Source organism: Homo sapiens, chromosome 3 (assembly GCF_000001405.40).
Source record: "Homo sapiens chromosome 3, GRCh38.p14 Primary Assembly".
NCBI classification, from domain to species: Eukaryota; Metazoa; Chordata; class Mammalia; order Primates; family Hominidae; genus Homo; species Homo sapiens.
In genome coordinates this window covers 73442815-73459839 of record NC_000003.12, presented here as the reverse complement: position 1 = coordinate 73459839, position 17025 = coordinate 73442815, and the positions used below count along the sequence as shown (strand labels likewise).

The following is a 17025-nucleotide window of genomic DNA, read 5'->3' as shown; positions in this document are numbered from 1 at the left end:
GGCTCCCCATCTGTTAGGCAGATATAAAAGAAGAGTGCTTCTATTCACAATAGCAAAGACATGGAATCAACCAAAATGCCCATCAATGACAGATTCGATAAAGAAAATGTGGTACATATACACCATGAAATACTATGCAGCCGTAAAAAGAAGAAGACCATGTCTTTTGCAGGAGCATGGATCGAGTTGGGGGGCATTATCCTTAGCAAACTAATGCAGGAACAAAAAAACCAAATACCACACATTCTCACTTGTAAGTGCGAACTAAGTGATGAGAACTCATGGACACAAAGAAGGGAACAACAGATACTGGAGCCTACTTGAGGGTGAAGGGTAGAAGGAAGGAGAAGAGCAGAAAAAAAATAACTATTGGGTACTGGGCTTAGTACCTGAGTGATGAAATAATGTGCACACCCCCATGACATGAGTTTACCTATAAAACAAACCTGCACATGTACCCTTGAACTTAAAATAAAAGTTAAAGATGAAAGAAAATAAAATTAAAAAGTACTTAATTCATGATATGGTTTGGCTGTGTCCCCACCCAAATCTCATCTTGAATTATAATCCCCATGTGTTATGGGAGGGACCTGGTGGGAGCTGACTGAATTATTATGGGGGTGGTTTCCCCAGTACTGTTCTTATGATAGTGAGTTCTCAGGAGATCTGATGGTTTTATAAGCAACTGGCATTTTCCCTTGCTGGCACTCATTCTCTCTTCTGCCGCCCTGTGAAGAGGTGCCTTCCGCCGTGATTGTCAGTTTACTGAGGCCTCCCCAGCAATGCCGAACTGTGAGTCAATTAAACCTCTTTTCTTTTTTCTTTTTTTTCTTTTTTTTTTTTTGTTTGAGATGGAGTTTTGCTCTGTTGCCCGGGCTGGAGTGCAGTGGTGCAATCTTGGCTCACTGCAACCTCCACCTCCCGGGTTGAATCGATTCTCCTGTCTCAGCCTCCCAAGTAGCTGGGGCTACAGGCGTGTGCCACTACGCCTGGTTAATTTTGTTATATTTTTAGTAGAGATGGGGTTTCACCATATTGGCCATGCTGGTCTCGAATTCCTGACCTCGTGATCTACCTGTCTCAGCCTCCCAAAGTGCTGGGATTACAGGTGTGAGCCACCGCACCCAGCCCAAACCTCTTTCCTTTATAAATTACCCAGTCTCAGGTATTTCTTCATAGAGGTGTGAGAACGGACTAATACAACTCAAAATGTATGAGATGCTCAAAATGCAAGCTTTGAGATCTAAGAGATCATGCAGGTCAGTTTCCTAGCATTGTATCTAGTATGTAATAAGTGTTCAATAAATGCTAGTTTGCCATGAAAACTTCAAATAAGCATAAACGTTGGAGAAAAATTACTTTAAATGGGAAAAAAACCTATTTAAAAACATCTCATTGAGGCATAGGATCTGTGCACAGGGAGTTTACCTGACCCTGTAAGATAAAGTCCCTTGGCTTTCTTCAGCAGCAGAAGAAACCAGTACTTAGAGGTGGCCAGTCTCTGAAAGAGAGGTATTGGCATCAGACTTGGGAGTGGTCAGTTAACAGCTGTTACGGGCATCTGCTGGGCACCGAGCAGAATCCACTCATGAAGACTGCTCTGTTGCCTCCTGTTTTCTCATTGTGTGGATGAAGAAAGCAAAGCCACCCCAAGCTAAACTGTAACCCATTGACAAGGGCCACATTTGGAGGGTCCACTGTGCTCAGAATCCTTCAAGGGAGAAAAAGAATAAAAAGCAAGGACAGACCACATTTTTCCCCACTGGTAACAGAACCTCGGTCTCTGAGCCCTGTGTGCCTGTCTCTCCAGTTTCCCTGGTAGAACTGCTGCTGCCTCTGCCATTGCATGTCTGTTTCCATCTGGTCAGGCTGCTATAACAACATGCCATAAAATAGGTGGCTTATAAACAACAGAACTTTACTTCTTGCAGTTCTGGAGGCTGGGAATTCCATAATCAGGATGTCAGTAGATTTGATGTCTAGTGAAGACCCATTTCCTGGTTTATAGGTGATGCCTTCTTGCTGCATCCTCACATGGTGGGAAGGGCAAGGGTGCTTTCTGGGGCCTCTTAGAAGGGCACTCATGGCATTCGTTGAGGTCTCAGAATCACCTGCCAAAAGCCCCACCTCCTAACACCGTCACATTGGTGATTAGGTTTCAAAATACGAATTTTGGAGAGACACATACATTCAGACTACAGTAACATCTCTGTGGTGGCAAGTACTGGGCTTGCAAAATGATGAGAAACAGGACCAGGCCAGATACCGAGGAAGAGGTAAGGGAATCCAGGGGGCACATGGAACAGCACGCACCCTAGGAGTATGGCTGTCAATATCCCAGAGTTGGTTCTCTCTGGAACCCAACAAACCCATATTGGGCCATTCTCCACTCAGTATACCATTTCTTCACAAACACTGTTTCTCTACTCCAGAGCCTTGATGGTGCTCTTAATATGAGCTAAGGTACGGCCGGGCACGGTGGCTCATACCTGTAATCCCAGCACTTTGGAAGGCTGAGGCACGTGGATCACCTGAGGTCAGGAGTTTGAAACCAGCCTGGCCAACGTGGTAAAACCTCATCTCTACTAAAAATACAAAAATTAGCCGGGCATGGTGGTGGGCGCCTATAATCCCAGCTACTTGAAAGGCTGAGGCAGGAGAATCACTTGAATCCAGGAGGCGGAGGTTGCGGTGAGCCGAGATCACGCCACTGCACTCCAGCCTGGGCGACAGAGTGAGACTCTGTCTCAAAAAAAAGTGAGCTAAGGTAGAAATTTCTTTCTCCCTGCCATGAATCCATTCATATTACTTTTTTAAAGTAAGCATTTTGTTTTAACATACCAACAGGATACATACATTTTAAATGGTAATGTCTATTAAGTACCAGGTGTTTTTTTTTTCCCCCTACTCCCCTTCTGGAGAGACCATCCTCTCAAAAATCAGCAGAAGAAATTCGTAGCACAGAAATCAAGTTCTTTATATATTATTTATCTCTCTGGCTAAATTTTATACCACGCTGGGCAGTATTTATGCCTGTGGTATGATTATAGCTACCTTTAACATTTGGCCTAGTCTTGAACGTTGGTCCAGGAAACAAAACTTTTCAGCCCTACGTATCTTGCTTAACCTATCAATGGTTGAATAAATGGATGCCTTTTATCTTAATTCCTATTTATACATGACGATGTTATTGTGATGGGAGGCATATATCTGTGTACTGTCCTATCAGTCATTTTATTCTTCAGGGGAAAAACTGTGAACATCATCTGGCTTCAAATTTGGAAATGGTGACTATTTAAAATGTTAAGCAGGACTTAAGGCAGATAGTTTTTTAAAAAGAATAATTTTATTTTTTCTTTCTTTGTAGCAATAGACATTATTTTGTTTCACTTCTGTCAAATCTTTATTCAACCATAAATGTAAATCTTGATTGCCTTTAGAAGAATAAGATTGGCTCACTTGGGACTTTGTTTAGGATGAGCAAGGCTAAAATGAAAGCTCCTGTGATATCAGGGTCAGATACAACAAGTATTTGCCAACTCTAGGAAAGTTTCACCATCTGACCTTAATTATTCCACAGAAGGGAGGGTTTCACCATGATAACAAGGAGAAGCGCACGCGCGCACACACACACACACACACACACACACACACATTTTTCTTCTCTTCAGTACCTAAGACGTCAACATTTATACGTAGACCATATGAACAATGTATTAGGTTTCTGCCCTAACACCATTCCAAGAAAGCAAAGCCCATTTTCTGATACTAACAATTTAGTTTTTGAATCTGTTTCTTCCTTCCACCATTACCACTATTTTATAAGATACCCAGAAGAAATGGTTATTATTTATGCAGGGTTTGTGCTCCCTCTGCTGGTTCTGTAATTAACTAATAAGTCTAATTCCCATAACTATGCTGATGTCATCAATTATTTTTGTGCATGGACATGGAATTACCCAAATCAGCATGTTCTGCTCAAACATCATCAGGAAAATTAGCAGGGGGTCAGAGGAGGACAGTTGGCCTAGCGAAGAAAGTGTACCTTTTGATTTGTCCAAGTCTGTATTTGAAAAACCTAAATGCAGTTTTATGCTTTTATTTGCTCCATGCTAGAGAAAAACGATCTATTATTATTTAAACTAGCATATTACATCCCATCCTTTCAGAGGTAGATAAGGTTGGAGATAAATAAAGGTTGTTCATCTTTTGAACAAGATTTATTATAATATCTGTTTTGCAAGTGAGAAAAAATTAGAAGTTCAGAAATCATGTATGCCTTGCTGCTGAGAGTCTCTGCAGGCTAAAAAAGTAGATTTCTATAAGTGGCACATAATGGCCAATGCCTTGACTTCCCAGATCTGATATGTCTTTTTCACAAGTGTGGAGTCGGGACATAGCCATTTCTTAATGTCAGCACAGCATCATGTATTCATGAAGACCATAAGCTCTGTAGCTGGGTCAACTGAGGTTTAATTCTGGTTCTAGCACTTACTCTGTAATCCTGAGAAGGTTAGGGTACCTAACTTTCTAGACCCCACCTTTCTTGTCTACAAACTGAAAATAATATTGTTGGCAAGAGTTCTTACCTTGTAAAGTCATTGTAAGGATTAAATGAAATAACAAATGGTACTTAAAGTAAATGGATGATGATGATGTTGATCTGAAAATACTCTGGTCATTACTCATGGTGATTCTTTTTCCAACATGAAAGCAGCTTCTTTTCCTGATAATAAAAACTTACTGTGAAAACTGGGAGGGTAACTTTCAAATGATAAGGGTTCAATACTCCAGGAAATATTGTACTCATAAACAAATAGTCTGAAATAAGAGGGGCATAATTGAATGGAACTCCAGGAGAAATTAGTCAAGATAGTGTAGAAAATCAAGACATTTCTTACAGATGATAAGTCAGTCCAACCAAGATCGCAATTAAAAAAAAAAAAATGAAGAAACTTTAAAATGGGTAAAATCCTAATACATAGAGATGATATTTGAGTATATATCCTTTGGATGTTTTGTAGTATTTGTTCATGCTTTTAAAAAATCTATTTAGTTACTTGTAAAATAATGCCACACTTTTCAAGCTTTTTTGAGAACCTCCTTATTCTCAATCAGTACCATATTCTGGCCATCTTTCCATAGCAGTAAATGTGGATTAATGGTCAATATTATTCTTGGCCTCCTTGGTCCTGTCACTCTTAGCATTTATAGATACCACCCCACCCAGTTCAATGACTGTATTCTTAGATGATGCAGATTAATTCCAATAACAACCCAGGCAAAGCAAACAAGTAAATCCAGAGTCAGGATAGGTTACGTGTCGTCCTTCCCAAAGTCAGGTATCAGGAACTCTTGGACGACTCAAATCAGCCCCTTTTTCATTACCTCTTCCAAAGGAGAGTGGTCTGGAGACACATTGATGTTGCAGGGCCTCACCCTGCTCAGGAGGGGGTTGAGGTGTCATTGCTGATGGGTTTTGGTGAGGGAAAAGAAAGAGGTGGCTCCAAGTGCTAGGCCCCTTCCTCTCCCTACTCCAAGTTTCTCTACACTCTCTGGTTCTCTGGCTCTTGTAGGCTTCTCAGAGACTCTCTGGGTTTGTATAGATGGTGGTTATTTCTGCCATGTGTGGGAAACTCTTGTGAAACATATGTGCCAGGGGTAGGAATCCCAGGCCTCCTCTCCTGCCCAGGGGATACCATCATCTATGTTTGTTTTTAAGCTGGTCTTAAAATGAGGAATCTTGTGCTGGAATAGCTTGCTGTGATCTGTTTAACTATAATTTTTACCTGTACTTTTCACAGGCCTGGCCTACTCTCTGTCGTGAAAATATTTGGAATTTATACTTTAAACAGTGTAGGCCACTTTGGTTGTTGATTTAAAACATGCTAGAGGTTTTTATAATGGTTATTTATATTGGCCAACACTGACCCCTCTGCAATGACCTGTTGATGTTGGACAAGGATAAGAGGCACTGAATACAATGCAGGAAATGGAAAGAGATCAAAAAGAATGAATATGTGAGCTTAGTAACAATGCTTTGTGGCTTAACACGGAGATCAATTGTCTGTGTGTGTGAGGTTTTCAGAATTGCGGTATTTGGCCCACTTACAGGAATTAAGCGTTCTCTTTGGAGAAATTTAAGAGTTTTTCAAACTGTGTTTTGCATTACAATATCAACGTTGCTAATTCTACAAAATCATTCTTGATTATATATAATTATATATAAATGTATATATACTTAAAGCATGAAGAAAATACTTCATATATCTATATATTGAAATTATTGTACCTTTTTTAAAGAAAGCAAAACAGCCATTGAGTAAAGCAAGTGTCTCTGGAAAGTAAGGCCATTTCTGTGGACTGTTCAGGAATTAACAGCGAATTCTTTCTTCTTTCTTTGTTTTTTTTTTTTGTTTTTTTTTTTTTTTTTTTGAGACGAAGTCTCACTCTGTCTCTAGGCTAGAGTGCAGTGGCTAGATCTCGGCTCACTGCAACCTCCGCCTCCCGGCTTCAAGTGATTCTTCTGCCTCAGCCTCCCAAGTAGCTGGGACTACAGGTGCACACCATCACACCCAGCTAATTTTTGTGTTTTTAGTAGAGACAGGGTTTCACCATGTTGGCCAGGATGGTCTTGATCTCTTGACCTCATGATCTGCCTGCCTTGGCCTCCCAAAGTGCTGGGATTACAGGCATGAGCTACCACACCTGGCCAACAGCAAGTTCTTTCTAGCCTGACTGCTGGAAAGGGAAAGTGGCATACTTTCTCCAACCTGTTTCTCTTGCCCCCATACTCCATTTCTTCCTTGTATTCAATGGCAGAGTGTCAGTTTGCTTGTAGTCCATTTCCTATGTCATTTATCACTGTACAAATGTCAGCTGTGAGACAGGAGAACATGTGTGTTTGACAGCTGCCCAATAAATTATGCAGAAGAACAAGTTAAAGACAACTGCATGGACTTAAAACACACACACACACACACACACACACACACACACAGATATATGGACCGTTAGAGAATTGGCACTAGTCGTTGCCTCATGAATATCTTAAAATATTATTCAACTGTAACCACTGAGCGAAGTGTTAGCATGGTTTGAGAGACAGCATCAGAGTAACTCACAACTTAAAACCAAGTAAAATCTGGTCCCCCACAAAAAGATCTGAAAGGAGATGCATATGCTTTAAAAATCCAAGTTTTCAGTGAATGCCTGAATAATACCACCAGTTAGGATGGTGGATGAGATGATCCTGGAAGCCTGGCCCAGCCAGGACTGACTTGGCCATACATCTTGTTCCCTGTGAAAGTAGAGGTCCCAGCATGCGTTTCTGCCTTCAGTGAAATCATAGAGAGAAGCAAATTTAAATGGAATTACCTTTGCAAAGTTAAAAAGTATATTCCTATACCAGTTTTGGAGAACTCTCTGTGGCAGCTATTTTGTGATTTCTTGGAGAAGATAACAAATAATTATCATGTTGGTGGTAGAGAAAAGCCGTGTGTTTTGTGGCTCAAGTCTAAATCCATTTATTTACTCTCTTTAGTGACCCCACCCCTATTTGAGACCGTGCTACTAACCTACCACCTTGACAGTGCCTTTGAGTCGTGTAGCCCCACATTCCACCCTGAGAGCGTCTATCTGTGGAATGATGGCTGGAGATAAAGGAGTCAGTCTGTAGCCAGGAGGTCATTTGTCCTCTTCACATGGGAATCAGACTTATTGCTGTGGCCCGAGCTATATCCATCGTCTAACCAGCTGAGCTAATTAGCCCATAGCTGAGCTAACTAGCCCATAAAGACATAGCAGGTTATTGCTTACCCACATTAGTAAAGATTCGATTCTGTTTGGCCCTCACAATTTTCTCTGTGTTCACAGTTCATACCAGCAAGGGATTCCTGTTCCTTAGGAGAACTGACTTCCCAGTAAACACCCTGAGCACAGTCATCTTTAAATCTCTGTTTATAAGGCTGTGTGTGTGTGTGTGTGTGTGATGAGAAGCTAGAGCATCTGCGGGATTCAATAGGCAGAAAGCTGATGACCTATCATATGATAGTAAATGATTACGACATGAGTGAGAGTTACTTGGCATCAGCAAGCTGGTAGTTATTTTAAGAAAGGGGAAGCGATGTTTTAACACAGTGGGCAGGTGTGCTGGGGCAGGAAATATATTTTACCTAATCAAATAGCATTTAGCCAGGTAGTTGGCAGCTCAGCCTCTCTCTAAAACCAACTTTGCTTTGGTATTTTTCTCCCATTTATTTACTCTCTTTAGTGACCCTGTTTGGCACATCTTTGCACCATGACCAAAGTGACAGACTTTGGTCTCTGTTGGACTAATCAGTGTGTTCTCTGATCCATGACATATGTTCCCTGTAGACATTTAAAGTCAACATATTCAGCACTTGTGGTCTGGCAGGTCAGAGTTATTAACTGAGCTGATAGACTGGTTTGGATATTTGCATCCAAAAGACTTTCCTCCTCATCCTCTAACACATAGAGCCACACATCCACTCCCAACAACACAAATATTGACTGTACCAATCATTTATTAGCAGTAAAAATTTGAGAGCAATTATTTTTTTACTGCGCTTGCCCTGAAAGACACCATTAATTACTATATTGCCTGTGGATGTGAGCCAGTTTCGGTGTCCCAGGGGCCTGCTCCCCACCCGGAAGAAGTATTTGCAGCTCCGAGGAACACAGCATAGGATGTCATCTGGCAAGCAGTGCACTGACATTGTCTTCTGAAGTGAGATGTCAAGACTGTTTCTGCCATCCTATTGGATTCCTCCTGACTTGCAGTTTACAGGTCAGGATTGGCGGTGACGGTAGGTTTCCCCAATGGCCTGAAAACTCCAAATAGAGGTGGGTGTGGGTGAAATTTGAGATGTGCCAGCTTTTTTTTTTTTAAAGAGCATGAGAAATATTCCAAATCATCCTAGAATAATTATCAGCGGAAGAACTTTTTTGATTGTTGATTCTGCAGGTCTCATCCAGAGGGTGAAAAGAATTAAGGCTTCTGATGGGCAGCACCAGCCAGTCTGCCTTTTCAGTTCTGATCTTTCAAAGGCAGGTGTGATGCAGAGATAGTAATGGTGCTGTTGGATGGTTTTCCTCCTCTTCCTACTCTAGTTAGCAGAAATGCAAAAATGCCTTTTGGAATTTAAACTTGTACCCTAAACCAGTTTGACCACATTTTTTGCTCAATTTGGAAAATCACACAAGCTATTTGGAATGTATGTATGTATTTATTACAAGTGGGCTATTCCTTTATTAAAAATATACTGATTAGATGTATAGCATGTCCTCCCTGCTAAAAAGAAAATGAATCGTGACTTATTAATGTGCCTGATTACGTGATAGGCCTCGATATCTATTGGCTGCACTGATCAGCTTGAGCCTAGCTCTTACCACACCTTTTGTATTTTGTGTGTGTATTGATTATGATGCCAATCTGCACATCCATGAGCAATGTCACCCATTTTTAAATATAACTTGGAGAATAGCTAAGTAGTATGTTTAACAAGGGCTTGAGAATGTTTAGTACGCTCTATAGGGTAAGGAAGAATTGCTACTGAGAAGGCATATGGGATCAGTGGCATGTCAATGTAGAACACAGTAATGTAGAATGGACTGGCATCATGAGAGGGAAGCCTCTCTCACATTAAATATAAAAATATCTTAGGAAACATTTTCCAAAAACCAATGCTGTTAGAACTTGCAGTGGAACTGGGCTGACTTATTTTCTTCCTTCAGAGGTCTTTAATTAATAAAAAGAGAACTGAGAGTAAAGGAAAAGGCACAGTCCATCCAGTGCCTCCTAAGGACCCTTCTCATCATCGTCCTCCAGAGGAGGTACCTATGGCGTGTGCTGCCCAGCTGTTGGTGGTTGGGAGTGTGAATCAGACTGAGACTCTGTCTAGGGGTGCTGGTTTGAGTTTTTTAAGTCAATTGCCTCATCTACGTAAAGCATGCAGTTAGAACAGGCTTTTCTTACACCCCAGACTGAAGCATTTTTTAGTCGAGAAGTCAATTTAAGGGAGGCAATATATTCTTTTGCAGCCTGTGCCATAAGAATAAAAGTCCAGGCTGCCACTTATTACAGTTTAACTGAATGATGGATTCTAGCCTGTTTTAATTAAATTACATATTCAATTATTTTTGTTTGAAATTAAAAGCTTGATTATATTACCGAATGCTATGTAATTTTACACGCGTTGTTCGCTTATTTAACAGTGAGGCGTGGGATATGATTAACAATGTGGCTGCCAGTAGAAAGAAGCAAAATAATTATTTGTTCAATATACAAGTCCTCATCATGATTCAGAAATCAATATGCATCCACGGAGGATTTGCTCGCACTGTGGATTATGGAACTCAGTGTGGCCTTCCCTCATTTCCCTATGAATGTAAAACCTGGAGACTTTGGTTCACCAGGCAGGTTTTTATTTCCCTCTCTCTCTTTTTTTTTTTAAAGACTGATGTTTAACTACAGCCGTTGGGACTTAAATCAGAGCATCCAGTGCCCGAATATGAATATTAATCAGATGCCAGGCCATGGAGTTCCTCGCCGAGTTTGACAGTTTAAAGGATCAGTTAGTTAATTAGAAGATGACATGGCACGCTGGGTCCCAAGGCTCTGTCCTGCCTTCTGTCTCCTCTTTTCATTTCCCTTTTTGACAAGTTGGATTACATCATTACTTGTAGTTTCACTTGTTAGCCCCACCATGAAATGAGAATATTTTATGCTTTAATTATCTGTGATTTCTTCCCCCTTTCTCTGCAAAGACCAGGCTTAAAATGAAACTCAAAGAAACATAAGAATCAGAGGTTCAAAGTCCCATGAAAATCAGTCTTGTGACTCCAACCATGCCACACACCACATTGCAGTGAGAAATAGAAGGTTTGTGGTAGCATGAGAAACTGGGTTGTGGTAGTCATGGTGACTGGTTTTAAATATAAAAGGTGCCTGTCCTGACTTTCGTGCCACAAGTACAGATGTATCACACCAGGTGTTTCCATGGCTTCTCTGGCTTGAGGTGTTACATACTGTGAATATCCTCAGGGGTAGCCACAAATTATTCTGGCCTATGTTTCTTGCCCACCCTAGTAGCTAAATGCACCCCAATGTCTGAACAATTCTGTTCTAAATGTTTTTTTCTTGCCATGATATTGCTCACTTGTGAAGCTTCTATTAAATAAAGTTTACATGTGGTCTGTATAGCAGCTTAGTCCCCAGGAAAAAAAAACAAGATTGAGATTAGTGTTTAGCTCTTCAAATGAAGGTTTTTCTGATGCCCTAAGTAGAATTAACTCTTCACTCCTTTCTCCCCATCTACTCTGCAGACAGCTGCTGTGGCACATCTAAAGTTTAATTACACCAGACGCTGAGCTATACAAGGGATGGAACTAGGGTTCAGCATCATCCCTAGCAAACATTAAAAGTGAAAATGTAAAAAAGAAAGGAAGAAAACTAAAATCTACTGAGCATTTACCATTAATGCTGCAAGCCAGCCACTTCACTGAGTAACTCTGTATGAGTAATTTCTCATTAGTCTTCACAACAATCGTAGGTGGTTAGAAGAAAAAATGAAGACTTGGGAAGAATCTTGCCAGGTCACAATGGCATGTGCTAAAGAAGCTGAGCTGGGATTTGAAATTAGGCAGTCTGATCCCAGATTCCCCTCCTGTGCTGAATCTCACATGGTAGGTGCTTATTTACGGGTGATGAAAGAGAAGGATGTTTTTGGTTGTCAGAGGGCATTTCTAATAGGTTGAACTCCCACTGGCAGTATATGGAGACAGAAGAGAGGTGGGAAGAAGAAAATGTGTGTGCTAGATATGATCCTTACTACTGGAAAAGCTATGATATTTAGGGCATATCTATATTTATGTAGAATGCAAGAGGAAAAGGAGCTAGCAGGCATTACCAGAGGGATCTGGGTAGATGAGGAATGTATACTATGAAAGGACCAGGGAAGAGTTAAGAAGGAGTGTAGAGTCAACAGGGTCAGGTGTTACAGGGAAGGTCAAGGCAGGTGGTGGTCTTTAGGAGAAAGAACATCAACATGGTTAACAGAAGGCTGGGGCCACATCTCAGTTCCGCCGGTAAGTAATCTTTTTGGACTGCAACTGAATTATCTCTAAAGCCAGTGGAGGTAAATCTTGAACTATGGACCTCCACGTCCTCCTATTTAGATAGTTTGAATGGAGGACTTACAACAAGCTCTTGGTTGCGGCAATTGGGAGGTCATTATGACCCCAGATGGGACAGCTATAGTAGTGTGTGTTCGGCTATGGAGGAAGGATTGCAGAGGGCAAACCAAAGAGAATGGGTGGAGGTGAGAAAGAAGAGAAGTTAAGTGTAGACTGCTCTATGGAGGAACGTGTCAGCAAAAGGAGGGAGAGGGAGAAGACTGGGGAGTGGCAGATTTGGGAGCCTTCAGAATGTCTTGAGAAACCTCTGTCGGCCTGGAGAGGGAGGAGACAGGCAACAGGAAGCTAGGACAGACAGCACGAGTGGGAGGGATGGAGGTCTGGGAGAGCCTTGAGTCCGAGGGCACGAGGCTTCGATTTCCTGCACAGACTAAGAGAAGCAGTGCAACTGAAGGGAGGGCAGAGCAAGGTTTTGCAGTTGAAGAAGGGGCACAAAGTTTGTTTCTCCACCATGAAAATAATTTGGGGATGGGAGTGAATACAGAGACAAATAAATGGATTGCAAAATTATATATATTAGATCTAATATATATATCTAATATATATATATATATATTGCAATTCTTTATATATATATATATAGTCAAGAGGTTGGCCAGAAGCAGGGAAGGTTCAGCTCACGTCCATCCGAATTAGTCAGGAATCCTTCCATATCATTGTCTGACTGTCACCAGAGGGCTGCAGCAAGCTGGGAAGTGGGAGAAGGCAGGAGCTAGGAGCCAGCTCACCCAGCACTGTCGAGAGCAACAGAATACACAAGTCACGAGGGTAAGACATGAAAACCTACTCACTCGATGCAGTAGGATTCAGTATTTTAAAGAAGGAACTGAGAAGAAAAGGTCCTCAATTCGCCATTCTGTGCACCCTGGTTACCCTTCTTCCTAAGGTAAGGGAAGGTTCACATCGCCAGAAGCAGTCTGTTTTCCATCCACGTTCTTCCTCAGCTTCCCTGGGACATGTTGCTCTCTGTCCCCGCCAGCAACTGAATCCTTGTACAGAGAGTCAGGCAGATAAGAAAGTGTAGTGAGTATTCTGTAAATTTAAACTTACTCTGTTTTGAAACTCCTGAGGTTATGTCTAATAATTTTTTCAGGTTTTTGTTTTCCAATTAAGGTACTAACGCATGAAGTTTTTAAATGTCCTTATAAGACAAATATGTATTTGGCCACTCTGTTAGTCCTCAGCATTGTTCCCCTCTAATTTTACCAGTCCATGAAATCCAAATGATGGAATAGTATTGGTGTATAGAGCACACGGTATGATTGGTCATTAGCTGCTGTGGTGGGATCGTGGCATGGCTTGGCCAAGCAAAGCTTTGAAGAAACGCTCACTGCCCATGTAACTGTATTTATTCCTTTTCCTGAAATAAAATGCCTCACGCCAAGGTAGGTCATGGTAGATGGACTCAAAGAGAAGGTGGGCAGAACTCAGAGTGCTGACGGGGACCCCTCTGCAGTGAAAGGTGTAAAATGAAATAAGCTGTTAATGTTCCCCATTTCATTCCAAAAAATAAATTGTGGTTTCAGAGCACCCACTTATCAGCTTTCTAGTTGATATCACCCAGCACACTTGTGCTTACCCCCAGGGACGAATCACCTGAAAGATGTTGGGGTCAAGGCATCAAAACATTTGGACGCACATTGATGGGTTTTACACCTTTGTATCTCTCTGATATTACTGTTTCGCTTCAGCAAGCCCACTAATATCAGATATATCCTATCAGGGACTATTTTAAATCACTTCAATTTTCCCTGCCCCTGGGCTCTGGCCATCAGACCAGAATCCTAAGCATGTGTTGCCTGTGATCTAGTGTTTTCCTTTCCCCCATTTATAGGAGAGGGAACTTTATTAGCTTTTGGACACACATATATATCAGTTTTAAGGATTAAGTACAACATCAGTAGTTCTTACCCGGCTCTCAAGTGTATTGAGTTGTTATATTTTCTCAGAGAATGTTAAAAAATTAGTATTGCCATTTGTGGAAGCATTTTTCTCTTAAACCATTGGTCATAATGGTGTTTACTTACTTATTCTCTGAAGTACTGTTTTATAGAGAAAGTAAATCTAGGATAGAGGCTTGGTAAGTAATTTCAGACTTGATAGCACATGAACCTTATAGGTACGAGTGAATTATGAAGCCTCACTTTGCAGTGTTGTTTTGTTTTGTTTTGTTTTGTTTTTCTCAAGTGTCTTTCTTGCAACTACTTGTTTTATCTTCTGGGTGACTTTAAAATATTAAACTAGCTTCCCTTTAGTGCCTAAGTTATCCATCCAACTCCTGCTTCTCCTAGCCTCCAAATTCTTTCAGACACGAACACCCAAGTTGCCTATGACTCAATTACCGGCTGTTGGAAAGGACCATCTACTACGAGGGCATGTCCTGAATCCTAGAGTCTGGCCAAGAATAAAAACAAAAATCTGTGTTTCCCAGATCCACTTCTGGCTGTGGTTTGACCTGAGATCTACCAAGCAAGATACAAAGTAATTTGGTAATTGAGATTCCCAGTTCTGAATTCAGATTTAGGCTCTCCCTATCTCTGCCCCAGTGTCACCCTCTCGCCATTTCATACCTTCCTGCTTCACTTCAGCCTACACGCCAGTCACAGGCCTCTTCACCAGAAATCATTTCTATCCCATCATTCATTTGCCCTCAAGACCGCCATTCATGTGGACTCACCTTCCCTAGGCACCACAGCCCATGTACCTGCTTCATCTCTAGTCAGAGAGCTCTTTCTGCGTTTCCTCACGTGTGGCTCTGGCCTGGCTTGTTTTTCCCTATGTCTGTATTCCCTCCATCTTGCAACAACCAGCTCAGATTGTGCCTTTTCCACAAAGGCTGTAGTATCCACAGCAAACCAAAAAGCATGGCCCCAAGAGTTATATTGTAGTTACCCCATGGGGGTTATCAGGAGAAACCTTCCTTACTCCACCACTACCTCCACTCTCTACAGCTGACTTCTCTCCCCCTTTATGGTTTAGTCTTGTTTCCCAGGAGACATCATCAGCTGCTTGAGTATAGAGACAGGCTTTACAATTTTTCTGTATTCCCTGAGCTGGGACGATGTGTAGCACAGATGCTCAATAAGTACTTGCTTGTTGATTAATCACGGTAATGAAGCTATTTATTGGTCATAAACCACGGTGGGGTTTTTGTCTTCAAGAACTTGTTGCTTTCCTCTTAGAAGGAAGAGGCTGGCCACAGTCACCATTCTGTCCTAGACACTTAGCATAACATTCACCTGCTTAAATGAAAGGAGTAGGAGGACAGATGGACATGCCCTCAAGAAACTGGCACAGTGCAGATGGCAGCAAATCCTCTGGCAGAGCACCTGGGAGCTAGAGATCAATTCTGATGGACAAATTGGGGTGGGCTTTAATATGCATGGGATTGGAAGGATGGAGCTCACATCTCAACAAGCACAAATGTATGTGTGGAAGGTATTCCAGGTAGGGCTAATGGGTCCAATAAAAGCATCATGGATTGAAAGGATTAGGGATGTCAGTCACAAAGCAGACCCAAGCATGGGGTCAGGGGCAGGATAGCAGGAGACAGATAGGAAAGGCTGATGAGACAGATGTGGGAAAGGTCACAGTGAGGCTGAAATTCAGTACCAATTGCGCGTTCGTTCCAGCCATGTTACATATGGTGGGATCAAAATTATGTGGCATAAAGATGAGCCCTTTTTAATTTTGAAATTGATGTGATTATTTTTATAGTAATTTTTAATACATAGCAAATGATGCTGATTTTCCATTTACAGTGGGGATTAGATTTTATTTCAAAAGTACTTTAAGTAAAACCATGTGAATAGCTTTAAAAAAAAAAGCTGGACCAGGCTCAGTGGCCCATGCCTATAATTCCAGCACTTTGGGAGGCCAAGACAGGAACATCGCTTGAGGCCATGAGTTCAAGACCAGCCTGAGCAACAAAGTGAGACCCACCCCATCTCTACAAAAAAATAAATAAAAAAATAGCCAGGCATAGTGGTGCCCATCTGTAGTCCCAGCTACTCAGGAGGCTGAGGCAGGAGGATAGCTTGAGCCCGAGAGTTCAGTGCTGCAGTGAGCTATGATCGTACCACTGAACTCCAGCCTGGGCGACAAAGCAAGCGCTGTCCCCCCCCCAAAAAAAAAAAAAAAAAAAGAAAAAGGAAAATAAATCAAGTTAATAGTAGTAGAGGCTGTAAGTCAAAAATCATGGTAGTTCCCTGCAGCCGGAGGTTTGGAATGCACAAATATGGAAGTGGGAAGACTCCATGTGGAAAGTCACCCAGGCCAATGACTCCAAAGACTTGGGGATGGTTGGAGTTTGGCAACTGGGAAGCCATCTGCGAACTTAGAGCAGCTGTTGTCCTGGGGTGGCTGCAAGTCAGATGCACACAGCAGCTTCAGGAGGGTAGGGGGGGTTTTGTGTGTTTTGTTTACCACTAAACAACAGTGTCTGGCTCATAGTAGGCAATCAATACGGAGGCGTGAATGAATAGGTGGAAGGTATGAGGTGAGGTTTTTATTTCCACCCATGACACTGACACCCACTGGGCCGGTGGTGGGGCGCGGCTGGGAGCAGCCGGATTCCCACGCCCCCACTTGAAGTGAGCTCATAGGAGACACAGCCTCCCTTCAGGTGAAGGAGGAAGAAAGGGAGGGAGGGAGGTAGGCTGCAGTCTCTGCCTCTGATCTTATACCAAGGCTCTTCTGTTTTATATTGTCCTTTATAAACAACACCACAGGGACCTAGGCACCTTAGTGTACTCCAGCTGAAAGTGGCCAGTGAAGAGGCCTGGGAGGAGCTGTGGCATGGGGGGACCA

The 17025-nt window shown here is 42.0% G+C and overlaps 1 protein-coding gene across 5 annotated transcripts in view, besides 1 other annotated feature; it reads left to right on the top strand.

Annotated features, from left to right (window-relative positions):
* The window catches only part of PDZRN3 (PDZ domain containing ring finger 3), a 242511-nt gene that overhangs the window by 165102 nt on the left and 60384 nt on the right, over nucleotides 1-17025 (top strand). The gene's annotated exons all lie outside the window — the stretch shown is intronic.
* Nucleotides 10773-10842: an enhancer, noted in NCBI's record as "active region_20099". NCBI's record gives its function as "activates an Ori minimal core promoter by ATAC-STARR-seq in GM12878 lymphoblastoid cells {active_cell/tissue: GM12878}" and the evidence as "EXISTENCE:reporter gene assay evidence [ECO:0000049][PMID:35858748]".